The sequence below is a fragment of the Homo sapiens genome, chromosome 15 (genome assembly GCF_000001405.40).
Source record: "Homo sapiens chromosome 15, GRCh38.p14 Primary Assembly".
Lineage (NCBI taxonomy): Eukaryota > Metazoa > Chordata > Mammalia > Primates > Hominidae > Homo > Homo sapiens.
In genome coordinates, this window is record NC_000015.10 from 64,425,922 (window position 1) to 64,443,952 (window position 18,031).

The 18,031-nt window shown below is 42.7% G+C and overlaps 1 protein-coding gene across 3 annotated transcripts in view, besides 2 other annotated features; it reads left to right on the forward strand.

Annotated features, from left to right (window-relative positions):
• The window catches only part of TRIP4 (thyroid hormone receptor interactor 4), a 67,468-nt gene that overhangs the window by 38,086 nt on the left and 11,351 nt on the right, over positions 1 to 18,031 (forward strand). The window lies entirely within an intron of this gene.
• Positions 4,093 to 4,604: an enhancer, noted in NCBI's record as "OCT4-NANOG hESC enhancer chr15:64722213-64722724 (GRCh37/hg19 assembly coordinates)". NCBI's record gives its function as "activates a minimal SCP1, AML or CMV promoter by ChIP-STARR-seq in naive and primed H9 embryonic stem cells {active_cell/tissue: H9 hESC(naive and primed)}" and the evidence as "EXISTENCE:reporter gene assay evidence [ECO:0000049][PMID:30033119]".
• Positions 4,605 to 5,116: an enhancer, noted in NCBI's record as "OCT4-NANOG hESC enhancer chr15:64722725-64723236 (GRCh37/hg19 assembly coordinates)". NCBI's record gives its function as "activates a minimal SCP1, AML or CMV promoter by ChIP-STARR-seq in naive and primed H9 embryonic stem cells {active_cell/tissue: H9 hESC(naive and primed)}" and the evidence as "EXISTENCE:reporter gene assay evidence [ECO:0000049][PMID:30033119]".

Here is an 18,031-nt window from a genome sequence, read left to right on the forward strand (position 1 = left end):
AAATACAAAAAATTAGCCGGGTGTGGTGGCACGTGCCTGTAGTCCCAGCTGCTCCAAAGGCTGAGGCAGGAGAATAGCTTGAACCCGGGAGATGGAGGTTGCATTGAGCTGAGGTCCTGCCACTGCACTCCAGCCTGGGCAACCGAGTGAGATTCCTTCTGGGGGAAAAAAAAAAGCTATTGCCACAATGCAGCTAGCAAGTATATAGGGTCTTCATCCCTTACCAAAACCTTGCTTCTTTTGAAGAAACCCTTGATTATCCCTTGAATTATTTTGATTGGGGGGTGGGAATACTAGGATCTGTTATTGCTAATTCTGGAGCTTTTGGTCCAGGCTATTGAACTCATGATAGGCAAATGTATTTGACTCTGATTGCCAGGACTGTGCCATATTTGGGAGGAGGTATGTGTATTTATGTATGAATGTACATATGTATGAATGTACATATGTATGCATTTATATATTTTAATTTTTATCACTAAAGATTGAACTGACAGGTCGGGCGCAGTGGCTTACACCTGCAGTCCCAGCACTTTGGGAAGCCAAAGCGGGTGGATCACTTTAAGTCAGGAGTTTGAGACCAACCTGGCCAACATGGTGAAACCCCGCTTCTACTAAAAATACAAAAATTAGCCTGGTATGGTGGCGCATGCCTGTAATCCCAGCTACTCAGGAGGCTGAGGCAGGAGAATTGCTTGAACCTAGGAGGCAGAGGTTGCAGTGAGCTGAGATCGTGCCACTGCACTCCAGCCTGGGCGACAGAGTGAGACTCTGTCTCAAAAAAAAAAAAAAAAAAAAGATGGGCATGGTGGCTCACGCCTGTAATCCCAGTGCTTTGGGAGGCCAAGGCGGGCAGATCATGAGGTCAGGAGATCAAGACTATCCTGGCTAACACGGTCAAACCCCATCTCTATAAAAATACAAAAAAAATTGCTGGGTGTGATGGCACGCGCTTATAGTCCCAACTATTCGGGAGGCTGAGGCAGGAGAATTTCCTGAACCCAGAAGGCAGAGGTTGCAGTAAGCCGAGATCATGCCACTGCGCTCCAGCCTGGGCAACAGAGCAAGGCTCTGTCTCAAAAAAAAGAAAAAAAAAAGATTGAACTGATGTAACTAAAGTACATTTTTGAGCAGCAGAGGGAGCCGAAATACTTTAACTTAATTAGAAAATTCCTGAAATGTAAGACCTTTATGTTTAGACACAGAACTAGCAGAAATCCAAAACAGGAAAAGTCCATCCTTGAAGCACAAACAGTCTTACCTATCAGTATGGTTTTCCTGTTCTTTGAACAGTTGCTTTAGATAATAGGGCTTCCACCAGTGTGCTGAAGAAAAAGAGCTTCAGTTTCATTTTTCCCAGCAAATTCTCTTTTTCAGACTTACTTACCTTTCATTACTGTTATTACTGTCTACTGTTTTCCTTTACTGTTCCCAGCCATTTTACCCTCTCTATTCTTTACTCTTTATTTATTTTTTTTGGAAACTGGGTCTCACTCTGTCGTCCAGGCTGGAGTGCCAATCTTGGCTCACTGCAACCTCTGCCTCCTGGGCTTAAGTGATCCTCCCACCTCAGCCTCCCAGTAGCTGGGACTACAGGCACCACACCACCATGCCCAGCTAATTTTTGTATTTTTAGTAGAGACAAGATTTCACCATGTTGGCGAAGCTGGTCTTGAACTCCTGGCCTCAAGTGATCCACCTGCCTCAGCTTCCCGAAGTGCTTTGATTATAGGTGTGAGCCACTGTGGCCAGCCTACTGACTGATTTTAACTAACACTTGTTATCCCTCTAGATTTATGTCTTTCATTTCCTTGTGAGTTACCTCCTCTGCCTCCTCTGATTATGTGTGTGAGTACAATGCATGCATTTTGGTGTGAATTTTGAGTTCTAGCGTTTTGTTCTTCCCTTAGTATCTGATCCAGACCTAGGCAAAACCATAGACACATGGAGGCTATCCCCCACACTCTTGTGCCTGCACTATCCCTCTGAGCTTTTTGCCCATTTTTTTCAATGTCTACTTTCTTCCTCCCCCCTCTTTTTTTTTCCCCCAGTCTAGAAGTAATATTATAAAAATACCTTACACTGGTGTAGGCTTTACAGTTTTAGAGATTCACAGTCGTTAACAGCTTAGTATAACATACTGCATTATGTTTTCTTCCTGGGATATGTATTTGCGTTCTAAAAGAGAACCCAGGAGCATCTGGCAATGTGGATGATGGTTTTTGGCAAGCGGCCTTGCTTTATTTTCTCATCTATTGATCAAGCAAACTACCACCTGATACAAGGTCAAATGATTTCAATCTCTAGATAGCCAATCTTCTTTGTGCCACAAATTTGTGTAGAGAAGGGTAGGAAACTATAATCCTGATCTATGGAATACTATGAAGGTTACAGGAATTAGAAATCTAATTAAAACAAGTCTTGTTGATTTCTGAAGGATACCTCTTTTTCATGATACTTCTCCTTTAACTTATATTGTATCTCATTTCCTGAGGTTGCTTTGAACAGCATGTAGAAGTGCAGGAATCCTCCCATATGTTTCCAGCTAGAGGTGCTGGCAACTCTCTTTATGAATGTCTCTGATATATAACATTAAAATATAACAGAAGCCACTAGGCTTCATCAGACATGGGAATCCCATACCCATTTTCCCTATGGTTGGCTTTTCTGTAACTTTTTCCCACTGTTTCTTTTTTCTTTTTTTTGAGACGGAGTCTCACTCTGTTGCCCAGGCTGGAATGCAGTGGTGCAATCTTGGCTCACTGCAACCTCTGCCTCTCAGGATCAAGCGATTCTCTTGCCTCACCCTCCTGAGTAGCTGGGATTACAGGCACATACCACCACACCTGGCCATTTTTTTTTGTATTTTTAGTAGAAGCAGGGTTTCACCATGTTGGTCAGGCTGGTCTCGAACTCCTGACATCAGGTGATACACCCGCATTGACCTCCCAAAGTGCTGGGATTACAGGTGTGAGCCACTGTGCCTGGCCTCCACTGTTTCTTTTCTGTGTTTAAGGGTAGCATATGAATTTATTTAGAATTGATGTTAGCCCTATTTTTATCTTATTTATTGAGTAAAGAGTTTATCAGTTTTAAAAGTTGTAGCTTTTGGGTTGGGCGTGGTGGCTCATGCCTATAATCCCAGCACTTTGGGAGGCCGAGGCGGGTGGATCACTTGAGGCTAGGAGTTCGAGACCAGCCTGGCCAACATGGTGAAACCCCGTCTCTACTAAAAAACTACAAAAATTAGCCAGGCGTGGTGGCAGGAGCCTGTAATCTCAGCTTCTGGGGAGGCTGAGGCAGGAGAATTGCTTGAACCTGGGAGGCAGAGGTTGCAGTGAGCCGAGATTGTGCCACTGCACTCCAGCCTGAGTGACAAGAGCAAAATTCTGTCTCAAAAAAAATAAAATAAAAATAAAAAAAGAAATGTAGTTGTCTAATCTATTATACCAGCCTCATTCTTGTTTTCTGAATGAATGAGTTGAGAGTTTAGGAATAATGGCTCTTGACTAGCATTTACCAAACTATTCCATGGCATAGGTGTTCTCTGAAACACAAATTTGGGAAATACCTTTGGATTAAACAGATCTGTTTACTGTAGAACATCTCAGAGCCCTTAATATGCTAGTGTGGATTATGACTCTCTATGAGGTGGATATAACATGCAGTGTTCTCAAAACTTTGAGCATAAATTAATCCCCCACCCAAACATGCACTACCTATTTACATACTACAGAACTGGTATCATGGTATTTACAGTTTAGGAGTGTTAGTCTAAGTATGCTTGATTTTTCTGTATTCTCATAGGTCAACTCACTGAGAGAGAACCATCTAGGAAGTAGTTTCCTAACTGTGACCTGTGCCTTCCCTTCAGTATCTCCATATTCATTTATCACCCAGTTGAATTGCATTTTCTTTGAAAACTAATGTGGATCTAGTAATTTTTACTTCAACTGAAACTAACTTCCTGTGTGACTTGGACCACATTTTGCCTTTACATGCTGTTCCTTTTTCTTTTCCCCCCAAAATTCAGTAATTTACTTCTGACCTCACATTCTTGGCCTTTCTTTGATAAGTTAAAATACACTAAACCCTCACTATTTTTGGCATAGTGTGATCATTTAGTCCTCTTAAAAAAAGAAAATCGAAAAGGTTTTGTTAGTGGTTGTTTTAAAATCAAGTGCACTACACTGTTAAATGGCTTTAAAAATATGTGCTTTCTCCTGAGCCATGAACTAGTCTTCCTTTTTATCTTCTAAGATTAGTATGGCCAACATGACTAATTTGTGCCAGAAAAAATTCCTCTAGATCCTCAACCCTCCTGAGTAATGGCAGAGGATCAGCCTAGAGAAGGTAGAAGTGATATAGAAAAGGCTATGGGTTCAACTCAGGGTAAAAAGGTAGATGAGAGCCATCTCGTTAAAGCTTCTCCTGTGATTCCCCTGGAAGGAGCCCATGCTGTTTGCCAGCATTTTATCTGCCAGCAGCAGATGTAAGCTCTCAAAAACAGCAGGGAGGATGTTGACTGCAACAATGCATCAAGGCTGTGGTTTGTAACCTCAATAGTAAGGCAGTTAAAACTTTTTTTTTTTAACAAAGACATTTTGATTGCCAAATCCATAACCATTAGCAGCTGTGGTTTGAACAGTTCTCTAGACCTAACAAGTTTTCAAACAAAAAGTTGAGTTGGTGGCTTTTGTTTCTACGTGTCTGTGTTGTGTTTGTGCTATTTATATCCCTGCCTTCAATAGAAAATCTGATTTGTCTGAAATCTCCAAGGTCATTGATTATTCTATTTCTTCTGAACTGAATCCATTCCTTTCCTGCCAGCTTACTGACCCTTTAGTCTATTTGATCTTACAGCTTTTACAATAGCCAAGACCCTATCTTCAAGGAATTATGCTGAAGCAGTTATACTGCTGGGTGCCTGTTTCCAATAATTGACGGCAGTAGACTTGTAGTCTTCCAATAGGGAAGAGAATATTACTTCTTCCTTTTTCTAGAAAAGTATCTTCAGGATCTAGGAGAATTTGCTGGAAGAAAAGTAAGCAATTTTTAAAACTTTAAAAAAAAAAGAGTATCCAAGCAACATAGATCTTCAGGAAGATTCCAAGTATCACTTCGTTTGTGGAAATCATCAGCTTCTATCACCAATGAATTGTCTGTGAGTCTGAGAGATGAGAAATTAGAAAATGAAGGATTTAATAGTCAGTATTCAAACCAGGCACTGGAATTCAAAATGCAGTCCACAAATTCTCTTTTAAAATATGTGAAAATGTCCTGTCTGTTGTACTGAGAAAATCTGCCAATATATAGACCTCAAAATATTCCGATAACAGCCCTCACGATGAGGGCTGTTATCTGAGACTCAACAAGAAGAAAAATTGTTATGTTACTAACAACTAGCTTAACCCTGGACAATTCATTAAAATCACAGCTCACTTGAGTGAGATATAGGGAATGTAGTTTTGGAATTCTCTTGAAGACTGGAACATTGACAGGCTGGGCACGGTGGCTCACGCCTGTAATCCCAGCACTTTGGGAGGCGGAGGCTGGTGGATCATGAGGTCAGGAGTTCAAGACCAGCCTGGCCAACATGGTGAAACCCTGTCTCTACTAAAAATACAAAAAAAAATTAGCTGGGTGTGGTAGTGGGTGCCCGTAATCCCAGCTACTTGGGAGGCTGAGGCAGGAGAATCACTTGAACCCGGGAGGCAGAGGTTGCAGTGAGCAGAGATTGCACCACTGCACTCCAGCCTGGGCAACAGCGTGAGACTCCATCTCAAATTAAAAAAAAAAACAAAACTGGAACATTGACTAGAGTTTCTAGATCAAAACAGACTGTCTTTAGGGTTATTTGCAGTCTGGGTATTAAGTACCCACTTAAATGGTTTCAGAAACCATTTATATTATATATATATATATATTTTTTTTATCCAAAGAGCATTGTGTTTTCTTTTTTTTTTTTTTTTTTTTTTTTGAGACGGAGTCGTACTCTGTCGTCCAGGGTGGTGGAGTGCAGTGGAGTGATCTTGGCTCACTGCAACCTCTGCCTCCTAGGTTCGAGCAATTCTCCTGCCTCAGCCTCCTGAGTAGCTGGGATTGCAGGTACGCACCACCACGCCCGGCTAATTTTTGTATTTTTAGTAGAGACAGGGTTTCACCATGTTGGCCAGGCTAGTCTTGAACTCTTGACCTCGTGATCCGCCTGCCTCGGCCTCCCAAAGTGCTGGGATTACAGGCATGAGCCACCATGCCTGGCTGAGCATTATGTTTTCTGTTGTACTTATCCTGAAGAGAGATGGGAAATATTACCACTTTTCCATGTATTTAGTGTTTTGGTTTTCATCTGAAAATAAACATGAAATTCTTAAGATTTTCATATATATTTATTCATTAATAAATACTTGAGCCAGGCGCAGTGGTTTACGCCTGTAATCCCACCGCTTTGGGAGACCGATGCAGGCGGATCACTCAAGGTCAGGCTCTTGAGACCAGCTTGACCAGCTTGGTGACCATCTCTACTAAAAATACAAAAATTAGCTGGGCATGGTGGCGCACCCCTGTAATCCCAGCTACTTGGGTCACTGAGGCAGGAGAATCACTTGATCCTGGGAGGCAGAGGTTACGGTGAGCCGAGATTGCGCCACTGCACTCCAGCCTGGGTGACAGAGCAAGACTCTGTCTGAAAAATAAATAAATAAATACAGCCGGGCGTGGTGACTCACACCTTTAATCCCAGCAGCTTGGGAGGCCAAGATGGGCGGATCACAAGGTCAGGAGATCAAGACTATCCTGGCTAACATGGTGAAACCCCTTCTCTACTAAAAATACAAAAAATTAGCTGGGCGTCGTGGCATGCGCCTGTAATCCCAGCTACTCGGGAGGCTGAGGCAGGAGAATCTCTTGAACCCGGGAGGTGGAGGTTGTAGTGAGCCAAGATTGCGCCACTGTACTCCAGCCTGGGCAACAGAGCAAGACTCCATCTCAAAAATAAATAAAAATAAATAAATAAATAAATAAATAAACACTTGAGAGCCTATTATAAATCAGGCACTGTTCTAAACACTAAGAGAAACAAAAGGATGAATCAACTGTAGATTCTGTCCTCAGATGTTTGAAAGACTTCTAGGTAGATATGTATATAAACCAAATATAAAATAAAAAGTGAACCTAACTGTCTTAAAAGAAGTAAAGACTGTCTCTGAGAAAAATAAAGGAGGGAAAGCTTGCTTCTAGCTGGGAAGGATCCCAAAAGACTTTATTTAAAAAGATGGTTTTGAATTAGCTTTGAAGGATAGTAATGAAATCTATCACTTTTTGATCAGTTATTATGTGCCACATTCATCATGCTATTTTCTAATCCTTATAATAATTCCAAGCAGGGTGTCATTTCCCCTCCTTTAGGGATGAAATATCATCCCTAAAGTGTCAAGAGAGTTCAAATAACTTGTGTAATGTCCAGGGTGAGGAGTTCGAGACCAGCCTGGTCAACATAATGAAACCTCATCTCTACTAAAAATACAAAAAAAATTAGCCAGGCGTGGTGATGTGCACCTGTAATCCCAGCCACTTGGGAGGCTGAGGCAGGAGAATCACATGAACCCAGGAGGCAGAGGCTGCAGTCAGCTGAGATCGCACCATTGCACTCCAGCCCAGGCAACAGTGCGAGACTCCATCTCAAAAAATAAATAAAAAATAACTTATGTAATGTCAGTTAATGGTAGAGTTATGATTTTGCTGTTCAAGTGTTTCTACTGAGATGGTAGAAAAGCATATTACAAGGATGAGGAGTAATGGGAGCAAAGGCACAGAGGTGAAGTTATCGGCCTCTATGGAGAATAATGGCAAACCAGTTCATTGAAAGAAGAGTGTGAGTATAGAGCAAGCTTGTCCAAGCTGTGGCCCGTGGGATGCATGTGGTCCAGGACGGCTTTGAATGAGACCAAACACAAATTTGTAAACTTTCTTAAAACATGAGATTTTTTGTGTGTGATTTTTTTTTTTAAAGCTCATCAGTTATCGTTAGTGTATTTTATGTGTGGCCCAGGACAATTCTTCCAGCGTGGCCCAGAGAAGCCAAAAGATTGAATACCCCTGGTATAGAGGAATAAGCAGCAAACAAAAAATGAAATGGGGAGTCTCTCTGAAACTAATCTGCTTCTGGGACTGCCCAATTAAAAAAAAATTAAAAAGGGCTGGGCACAGTGGCTCACACCTGTAATCCCAGCACTTTGGAAGGCCGAGGCAGGTGGATCACCTGAGGTTAGGAGTTCGAGACCAGCCAGACCAACATGGAAAAACCCCGTCTCTACTAGAAATATAAAATTAGCTGGGCGTGGTGGCGCATGCCTGTAATCCCAGCTACTCAGGAGGCTGAGGCAGGAGAATCACTTCAACCCAGGAGGCAGAGGCTGCAGTGAGTCGAGATTGTGCCATTGCACTCCAGCCTGGGCAACAAGAGTGAAACTCCGTCTCAAGAAAAAAAAAAAAAAAATGAAAAGGTAGGTTTGTTCAGATGATAGATAGTTTTGAATGATAGGCATTCAAATCTATCAAATGATAGACATATCAGTTGTGGGATGGGAAAGAGTGTTTTGAAGTTTTTTTGAGGCATTAACATGATCTGAGGCTTGCTTGAGGGAAAACTAATTTGGCAGAAATGTGGAAGATGGAGTGGAGATATTCTGAAGATGGGAAGACCAGTGAGAAGACAGTTGTAGTCCAGGATAGAGATGTTTGAAAAATATGTTCTAGGATAATGCCAATGAAATGAGGCAAGACAGGAACAATGATGCAAGGGGCTTTATGTAGGTAGAATCAATTACTGGATATGATGCCTTCATTTTACCTTTAAGTAAACCAAGGCTTAGAGAAAGTGGTCTATTTGATCTAGAAAGAATATGCTGTAGTGTCGCTATCTACTTGGAATCTGTTCAGGACTCCTTGGTTTGTCATCTAGTCTACCATGTAAACCAAGTGGCAACTTATCTTCTAATTTAAGATATTATTGGCCAGGCATGGTGGCTCACGCCTGTAATCCCAGCACTTTGGGTGGCTCAGGTGGGCAGGTCACTTGAGCCCAGGAGTTCGAGATGAGCCTGGGCAACCTGGTGAAACCCCGTCTCTACAAAAAATACAAAAATTAGCTGGGCATGGTGGCATGCACCTGTAAACCCAACTACTAAGGAGGCCGAGGTGGGAGGATCCCTTGAGCCGGGGAGGCAAGGGTTGCAGTGAGCAGATTGCATCAGTGCACTCCAGCCTGAGTGACAGAGTGAGACCCCATCTCAAAAAAAAAAAAAAAAAAAAAAAAGATGCCGGGTGCAGTGGCTCACGCCTGTAATCCCAGCACTTTGGGAGGCCATGGCGGGCAGATCACGAGGTCAGGAGTTCAAGACCAGCCTGGTCAATGTGATGAAACCCCATCTCTGCTAAAAAAAATACAAAAAAAATCTGCCGGGCGTGGTGGCATGTGCCTGTAATCCCAGCTACTCGGAAGGGTGAGGCAGGAGAATCCTTGGAACCTGGGTGGCGGAGGTTGCAGTGAGCCGAGATCGCGCCACTGCATTCCAACCTGGGCGACAGAGTGAGACTCTGTCTCAAAAAAAAAAAAAAAAATATTATTATTGCTTAGGATATTATATAATCATACATTCATTAAGTATTTATTAACTATCTGTCATGTGCCAGGCACTGTGTTAAATACTAAGGATCCAGAGTTTTAACAACATTATTCCATCCCCTCTAGATCTTTAAGTATACTAGATGAAACTGAGACAAGAAAACCCAACCATAATAACTATCACATGAATAGTGGAATACACTAAGGAAGGGACCCAACTGTTAACTTTGCATGGCTGGAAGTGGGATGGGAGGGGGAGTGTAAAGGAAGCTTCTTAAAAAAAAAAAAAAAAAAAAAGACAAGTCCTGCAGAAGCAATGCTTCCTGGAATACCATAATGGTAGATTGAAAAAAAAAAAAAACCTGAAGAAAGTAAAATTTATATTTTCTTCAATAAACCATTCTACATCATGTCACCATGCCCTTGTCCACTAGGACAGCTCCTGCTCATCCTTTAAAACATCTCAGGCTGGGCGGGGTGGCTCACACCTGTAATCCCAGCATTTTGGGAGGCCGACGCATTTGGATCACCTGAGGTCAGGAGTTCGAGACCAGCCTGACCAACATGATGAAACCCTGTCTCTACTAAAAATACAAAAATTAACCGGGTGTGGTGACATATGCCTGTGTTCCCAGCTACTCAGGAGGCTGAGGCAGGAGAATCCCTTGAATCCAGGAGGCGGAGGTTGCAATGAGCTGAGATCGTACTATTGCACTCCAGCCTGGGCAACAGAACGACACTCCGTCTCAAAAGAAAAAAAAAATCAGCCAGGCACATTGGCTTACGCCTGTAATTCCAGCACTTTGGGAGGCCGAGGCGGGCAGATCACGAGGTCAGGAGTTCAAGACCAGCCTGGGCAGCATGGTGAAACCCTGTCTCTACTAAGAATATAAAAATTAGTTGGGCATGGTGGCGGGCGCCTGTAATCCCAGCTACTCAGGAGGCTGAGGCAGAGAATCACTTGAACCAAGGAGGCGGAGGTTGCAGTGAGCTGAGATCGCGCTACTGCACTGTAGCCTGGGCAACAGAGCAAGACTCCATCAACAAAAAAAAAATCTCAGATGTTACTCTCTGAAGTCTTCCCTAACCCCAGCCCATTTCCTCCCTAACAGGATTAATTTCCTTCTTTGGGTTCCTACTGTGTTCATACTTCTATTACTGCTTTTTTTTTTTTTTTTTAATATTGACATGTAGTTCTTTAGGTGACCATCTATGCCTTTTTTTTTTTTTTTTTTTTTTTTTTTTTAATAAGGAGTCTCACTCTGTTGCCTGGCTGGAGTGCAGTGGCGCGATCTCGGCTGCAGGTTGTGTGCCACCACACCCAGCTAATTTTTGTATTTTTAGTAGAGACGGGGTTGCACCATGTTGGCCAGGATGGTCTCCATCTCCTGACCTCATGATCTGCCTGCCTCAGCCTCCCAGAGTGCTGGGATTACAGGCATGAGCCTCCAGGCCTGGCCTAGGTGACCGTCTATGTCTTATTCACCTTTATATCAGTGTGCTAACATAGAGCCTGCCATGTAGTAGGTGCACAGTAAGTGGTCATGACAATAAATAGAGAGGGAGACAATGGTAGATATATGAAAAATCTTGGCCGGGTGTGGTGGCTCACACCTGTAATCCCAGCACTTTGGGAGGCTGAGGTGGGTGGATCACGAGGTTGGGAGTTCAAGAGTAGCCTGGCCAACATGGTGAAACCCTGTGTCTACTAAAGATTAAAAAAAAAATTAGCCAGGCGCATACCTATAATCCCAGCTGCTACTCAGGAGGCTGAGGCAGGAGAATCTCTTGAACCTGGGAGGCAGAGTTGCAGTGAGCTGAGATTGCACCATTGCACTCCAACCTGGGCGACAGGGTGAGACTCCATCTCAAAAAACAAAAAAGAAAAAAATGCCATATGAAAGGATTTGAACTGTGTTCTAAAGATAATCATATGAAGTCGTGTTACTTTGTTTTTTTTTTTTGAGACAGAGTCTCACTCTGTCGTGCAGGCTAGGGTGCACTGGTGCGATCTCGGCTCACTGCAACCTCCACCTCCCAGGTTCAAGCGATTCTCCTGCCTCAGCCTCCTGAGTAGCTGGTATTACAGGCGCACGCCACCACGTTTAGCTAATTTTTTTGTATTTTCAGTAGAGATGGGTTTTGCCATGTTGGCCAGGCTGGTCTGGAACTACTGTCCTCAGGTGATTCACCCGCCTGGGGTTCCCTAAGTGCTGGGATTACCGGCCTGAGCCACCACACCCAGCCAAAGTCATGTTTTACGATTGTCCTGGCAGCTGTAGGAAGGATGTACTGGATGGGGCAAGCCTGAAAACAGAGATGATTTAGGAAATTATGGTTGTCCAGGTGAGTTATGATGAAGATCTGCAGCAATGCTGTGTCAGTTGAGTTGAAGAGAAAGGATCTGATGATTGGAATGTTTAGGAGGTAAAGTTTGTAGGACTTAGTAATTTTACTGGATATGAAGGGTGAGAGAAGTCTAGGATCAACTTGGGTTTCTTTTTTGTTCTAAAAGATATGTTATTTGATAAAGGAGTATTGTTGACATTAATAACACCAGATTGCTTGACAATGACCTTACCTTGATATGTTAAGTGAAGTCAAAGATCTCTCAGAGCACTGCCTCAGAAGTTTTCAGTTGAGTCAGACTAGCCATTGGGAAAATAAAATCTAAAATTGGCACAGCCCTTAACTCAAGAGAAGTCTTCAGCATTCTGAGGTAATAGTCTCAGAGTGGACTTTGTTGGTTGAAGACCTTACCATGTACTGTCATTCATTCATTCATTTATTTATTTTGAGTTTCGCTCTTGTTGCCTAGGCTGGAGTGCAATGGCACGATCTCAGCTCACTGCAACCTCTGCCTCCCAGGTTCAAACGATTCTCCTGCCTCAGCCTCCCAAGTAGCTGGGATTACAGGCATGCACCATCACATCTGGCTAATTTTGTATTTTTAGTAGAGACAGGGTTTCTCCATGTTGGTCAGGCTGGTCTCGAACTCCCAACCTCAGGTGATGCACTTGCCTCGGCCTCCCAAAATTGTCTTTAATTAAAAGCAACTTTCTTCTGGTGTTCACTAGTTTAAGTTGGAGTGGAAGCCTATTATATTAAAATGAAGACCAAAAATAATTGTCATGAGTGGGTGATTCCCAGTTAGGCCTTGAAGAATCAGGCCAGAAAAGTTATGAGGTTAATTTTAGAGAAAATATACTTGTTTGAGTTCTTTTATGTGGAGGTTCTAGCATACGATTCCACAGGGCACAGGAAACCACAGTGGAAATGTTACTGTCGATAAAATGAGACCTGGTTGTAGCTGCTTCAACCAGATTGTCTTCCACAAATGGCTATAAGATCTGTAAGTTTGTGTGTGTCTTATCACTTATTTCTTTCACCTGGTACATATATGGATTGTCTCTGTAGCATTGAGCTGGAAGCCCCTGTCTTAGATACTAGGCATGTGACTTGAATTGGGTTACTGGTATATGGGAGTTCAACTATCCCACTTTGGGCCAAGTGGTATGATCTTTATTCAACCCTAGTCAAATATTCAGTCGTCATCTGGTCAAAGTATTATGATCAGTAGGTCACCCTGAAGTAAGAAAACGTTTATCTTCCAGTAGAGTGGGGCCTGGGGTGGTAGTTATCCTGTGACACCTTGAATTGCTTTGAAGGAAAATATAAATGAGAACTGTTTATCACAGAGCACAGTTGCTTGCGGGATATGCTTCCTTGGATCTGTTCTTGCACCTCTTTATCAGACTCATTTCCTTCTCTCTTTCTGCATATTATCACCTCAGTCTTCTTGGAGTTGGTTTTCAGCTAACGAGATTTCAGACCCTGATTTCATGTTCTATCTAGTTCCTCAAAATTCAGACCAAGAATGCCTACAGCAAATATATGTTCTTTGTTAATGAATTCCCTATTATTGTTGCTTTAGTTATTAGTTCTTCAAATAACAACTTATAAATCTTTTTTTTTTTTTTTTTTTTTTTTTTTTGAGATGGAGTTTCACTCTTGTTGCCCAGGCTGGAGTGCAATGGCGTAATCTTGGCTCACTGCAACCTCCACCTCCCAGGTTCAGGTGATCCTCTTGCCTCAGCCTCCCGAGTGGCTGGGATTACAGGTGCCCGCCATCATGCCGGCTAATTTTTTGTATTTTTAGTAGAAACGGGGTTTCACCATGTTGGCCAGGCTGGTTTTGAACTCCTGGCCTCAAGCAATCCACCTGTCTCGGCCTCCCAAAGTGCTAGGATTACAGGCATGAGCCACCATGCCTGGCTAACGTATAAATCTTATATCTGGAGACAGATATAAGATTTACAGATCATCTGGGAATTTGTTGTGAAGAGTGACATAGTTTAGGAGTTATTGATCATTTCAGTACAAGAATGAATAAGAATGAAGGGGAGGCTTGAAGATTTGGTGAAAATGCCCATTTTCCACTGAATCAGTGGTGGTTGACAAAAACTGCTAACCAATTTTTTCTCTTATGAAAATGGCAAAAGAAATTTATATATATATACATATTTATTTAGTCCTCTAAAAAAAATAAAATTAGACAGGTCTGGTGGTGTGCACCTGTAGTCTCCAGTACCTCCTGAGTGGCTTGAGCCCTCCAGGTCAAGGCTGTAGTGAGCTACGAACACACCACTGCACTCCGGCCTGGGTCACAGAGTGAAATCTCAAAATAATAATTAATTAATAATAAATATAAAATAAAATGTGACATCCAGAGCTTATTCACATTCTTCACCTCCCTTCTCTTATTCTTTCTCTGGGTAATCTGCATTTTAGTTTTCTGACTTTCAGACCAGATATCCCTTACTTGTGAGGATACAATGTAAGTATATAGTGGCTTGTTAGTATGTAATGTGGTCTTTAGTGTCCAGGCCCTGGTTATGGGGATTGTGGTTGTCTTTTTTTTTTTTTGGAGGTACTGAGGCTCTGCCAAGCTAACTTCGTTTTAATGCATTTGATAATGAAAAATAATCTCTTCTTCCAATGCATAGGCTTTACTTTATTCCTTGTAGGCCACTTTGCTTTTCACCTCTGTTTCTTGTAAGCCCCTTGAAGTTCAGTGCTAGTAGTAGGAAAAGGGATATTCACCTGGAACTTTAATTTGAGATTCATCTGGGAAAGTTGATTTTTATGTTTGTCTTTATTGTGAGGCATGATGGGTCCAAGGAACCTATTGTTATTTAATTTGTCCACCATTTTTCCAGTTTTTCCCACTATTTAACATTTTCTTACTCTGTTAATACACATCAGGGTGGTTTTTCTTAAACATAGAGCCATATTGACTACTTGCCAAGACACAAGCTTAGGGATAACACATTAAGAGTAATATCTACTTTTACTTAGAGTTATAGTTCTAAGAGTGTACAATTCCCAGCATGTGTGTATTCACCATGAATAAAATAACGTTAATGCACAAGTTGGTAAATTCATTTTTTTTTTTTTTATTTTTGAGACCGAGTCTCGCTCTGTCACCCAGTCTGGATGGAGTGCAGTGGTGCGATCTCGGCTCACTGCAAGCTCCGCCTCCCGGGTTCACGCCATTCTCCTGCCTCAGCCTCCGGCGTAGCTGGGACTACTGGTGCCCGCCACCACGCCTGGCTAATTTTTTGTATTTTTAGTAGAGACGGGGTTTCACAGTTTTAGCCAGGATGGTCTCAATCTCCTGACCTCGTGGTCCGCCCGCTTTGGCCTCCCAAAGTGCTGGGATTACAGGTGTGAGCCACTGCGCCCGGCCAATTCATTGCGTTTTTATTCAACAAGTATTTATTGATTGCCTGCTGTGAACTAGGCATGGTCCTAGATGCTGATGAGTAAACAAAACAAAAATCCCCGTCCTCATGGAGCTTTCATCCTAGTGAGTCGAGACCAAGTAAAAGTTCTAAATAAGTAAATTATATTGTATCAGACGATGGTAAAATAAGGCTGGAGAGGGCCGGGCGTGGTGGCTCACGCCTGTAATCCCAGCACTTTGGAAGGCCGAGGCAGGTGGATCATGAGGTCAGGAGATTGAGACCATCCTGGCTAACACGGTGAAACCCCGTCTCTACTAAAAATACAAAAAATTAGCCGGGCATAGTGCCGGGCACTTGTAGTCCCAGCCACTCGGGAGGCTGAGGCAGGAGAATGGTGTGAACCCGGGAGATGGAGCTTGCAGTGAGCCAAGATTGCCCCACTGCACTCCAGCCTGGGCAACAGAGCGAGACTCCGTCTCAAAAAATATATATATATAAATAAAAAATAAGGCTGGAGAGGTAGTTTAAGAGTGCCAAGTTTGTGGGGAATTTGGTGCTCTGATTTTAAATAGGGTTATCAAGAATATTCACTAAAAGTTGACACTTCAACAAAGTTCTGAAGGAAGAGAGGGAAGAAGCCATGGAAATATCTAGGGTGAAAAGCATTCCAGGAAGAAGGAAAAGGCAAGTGCAAAAAACCTGAGGCAGGAACAACAAGGAAGCCAGTGTGGCAAGAGTGGAGTGAAAGTGAAGGAGAGAAGTAAGAGAAGGTATCAGAGAGGAAATGGGGGGCCAGATTGTCTATGGACTTGTAGGTCATGGTAAGCAAGGACTTAGACTTTTATTCTGATTGAGATGAAAACCCGTTGGAGAGTTTTAAGCAGAAGAATGGCGTGATCTGATACAAAAAAAAAAAAAATTAGTTCTGGCGGCTGTGTTGAGAATAGACCAAGAGGGAAGTTAAGGGCAGAAACAGACCACTTAAGAGGTTATTGCAGAAGCCCAGGGAGACATTATGATGGCTTGGACCAGGGAAGTAGCCATTGAAGTCTTAAGAAATGGTGAGATATTGGATATACTTTGGCTTTTCTTTGAGACAGGGTCTCACTCTGTTGCCCACGCTAGAGTGTGTGCCACTATGCTTGGCTAATTTTTTTAACGTTTTATTTTTTGTAGAGATGGGGTCTTGCTATGTTGCCCAGGCTGATCCCAAACTCCTGGGCTCAAGCAATCCTCCTGCCTGGGCCTCCCAAAGTGCTGGGATTAGAAGTGTGAGCCACCGCACCTAGCCAGAGAAAAGAATTCTATCTTTGGATGGCAAGAGTGAAGATAAAAAAAAAAAAGAATTCTATCAAGTTCTACTACAGATAGATCAAGTTCTACTACAGATAGATCAATTAAGATGAGAACTGAGCCAGGCACGGTGGCTCACGCCTGTAATCCCAGCACTTTGGGAGGCTGAGGCAGGTGGATTACCTGAGGTCAGGAGTTCAAGACCAGCCTGGCTAACATGGTGAAACCCTGTTTCTACTAAAAATACAAAATTAGCTGGGCATGGTTTTGGACGCCTGTAATCCCAGCTACTCGGGAGGCTGAGGCAGGCAGGAGAATTGCTTGAACCCAGGAGGCAGAGGTTGCAGTGAGCCGAGATCACGCCATTGCACTCCAGCCTGGGTAACAGGGTAAGACTCCATCTCAAAAAAAAAAAAAAAAGATGAGAACTGCGAATTGACCGTTTGATTTAGCAGCATGGAAGTCAACAGTGACCTTTACAAGAATGATTTTGATGGAATGATGAGAGTGAAAGCCTACTTATAGTGAATTCAAGAAAAAAGTAGGAGAGGAATTAAAGGCAGGGAGTACAGATAATCTTTTGATGAATTTTGTTGTAATGGGAATCTGAGAAATGAGTAGTAGCTGGAGGAGGATGTGGGATCTGGATAAGAGATTTTGTTTCATGCCAGACATTACAGAATGTTTGTGTGTTAATAGGATTGATCCAGTAGAGAGGCAAAAACTATTGACATGGAAGAAGGAGGAGAGATTGGCTGAAATGGTTTATGGTGTTGGAAAAGCAGAGCTGTTGATTGTCCTTTGCCTCAATGGTCTCTAAGCCACAGGGAAGGAAAAACAGGAAAATTAAAGAGATAGTAATTATGAATGCTGCTGCTCTGGTCTCTGTAGAATTAGGTTTGGAGATCTTGATGGCAGCCTCTGGTTTTATTTGTGCCAAAGCACCTCAGCATGGATCTTGTGCAGAGCTTATTTCCTTCTAATACCCAGCAATAACAGCTGGGCCCTGTTTTTCTTTGGCTTCTGAAGATAAAAGGGATAAGAAAGAAGAGGGTTTACCTTTGTATCTGTAGCCTTACTTTTCTACCGTGAACATTTGACCCTGCCTATTAATATGATTGTGGCTGATAGTTAATATTAAGTTTGTTTTATTGGCTGGGTGCGGTGGCTCTCTCCTATAATCCCAGAACTTTGGGAGGTTGAGGCAGGAGAATCATTTGGGTCCAGGAGTTTGAGATCAGCCTGGGCAACATAGAGAGACCCCATCTTTAAAAAAAAACAAAACAAAAACAAAGTACATGTCCCACCTCTTCCACACTGAAAGCCATGGTGTATGGGCAGGGCCAGATGCTAGTAAAAATCCCTT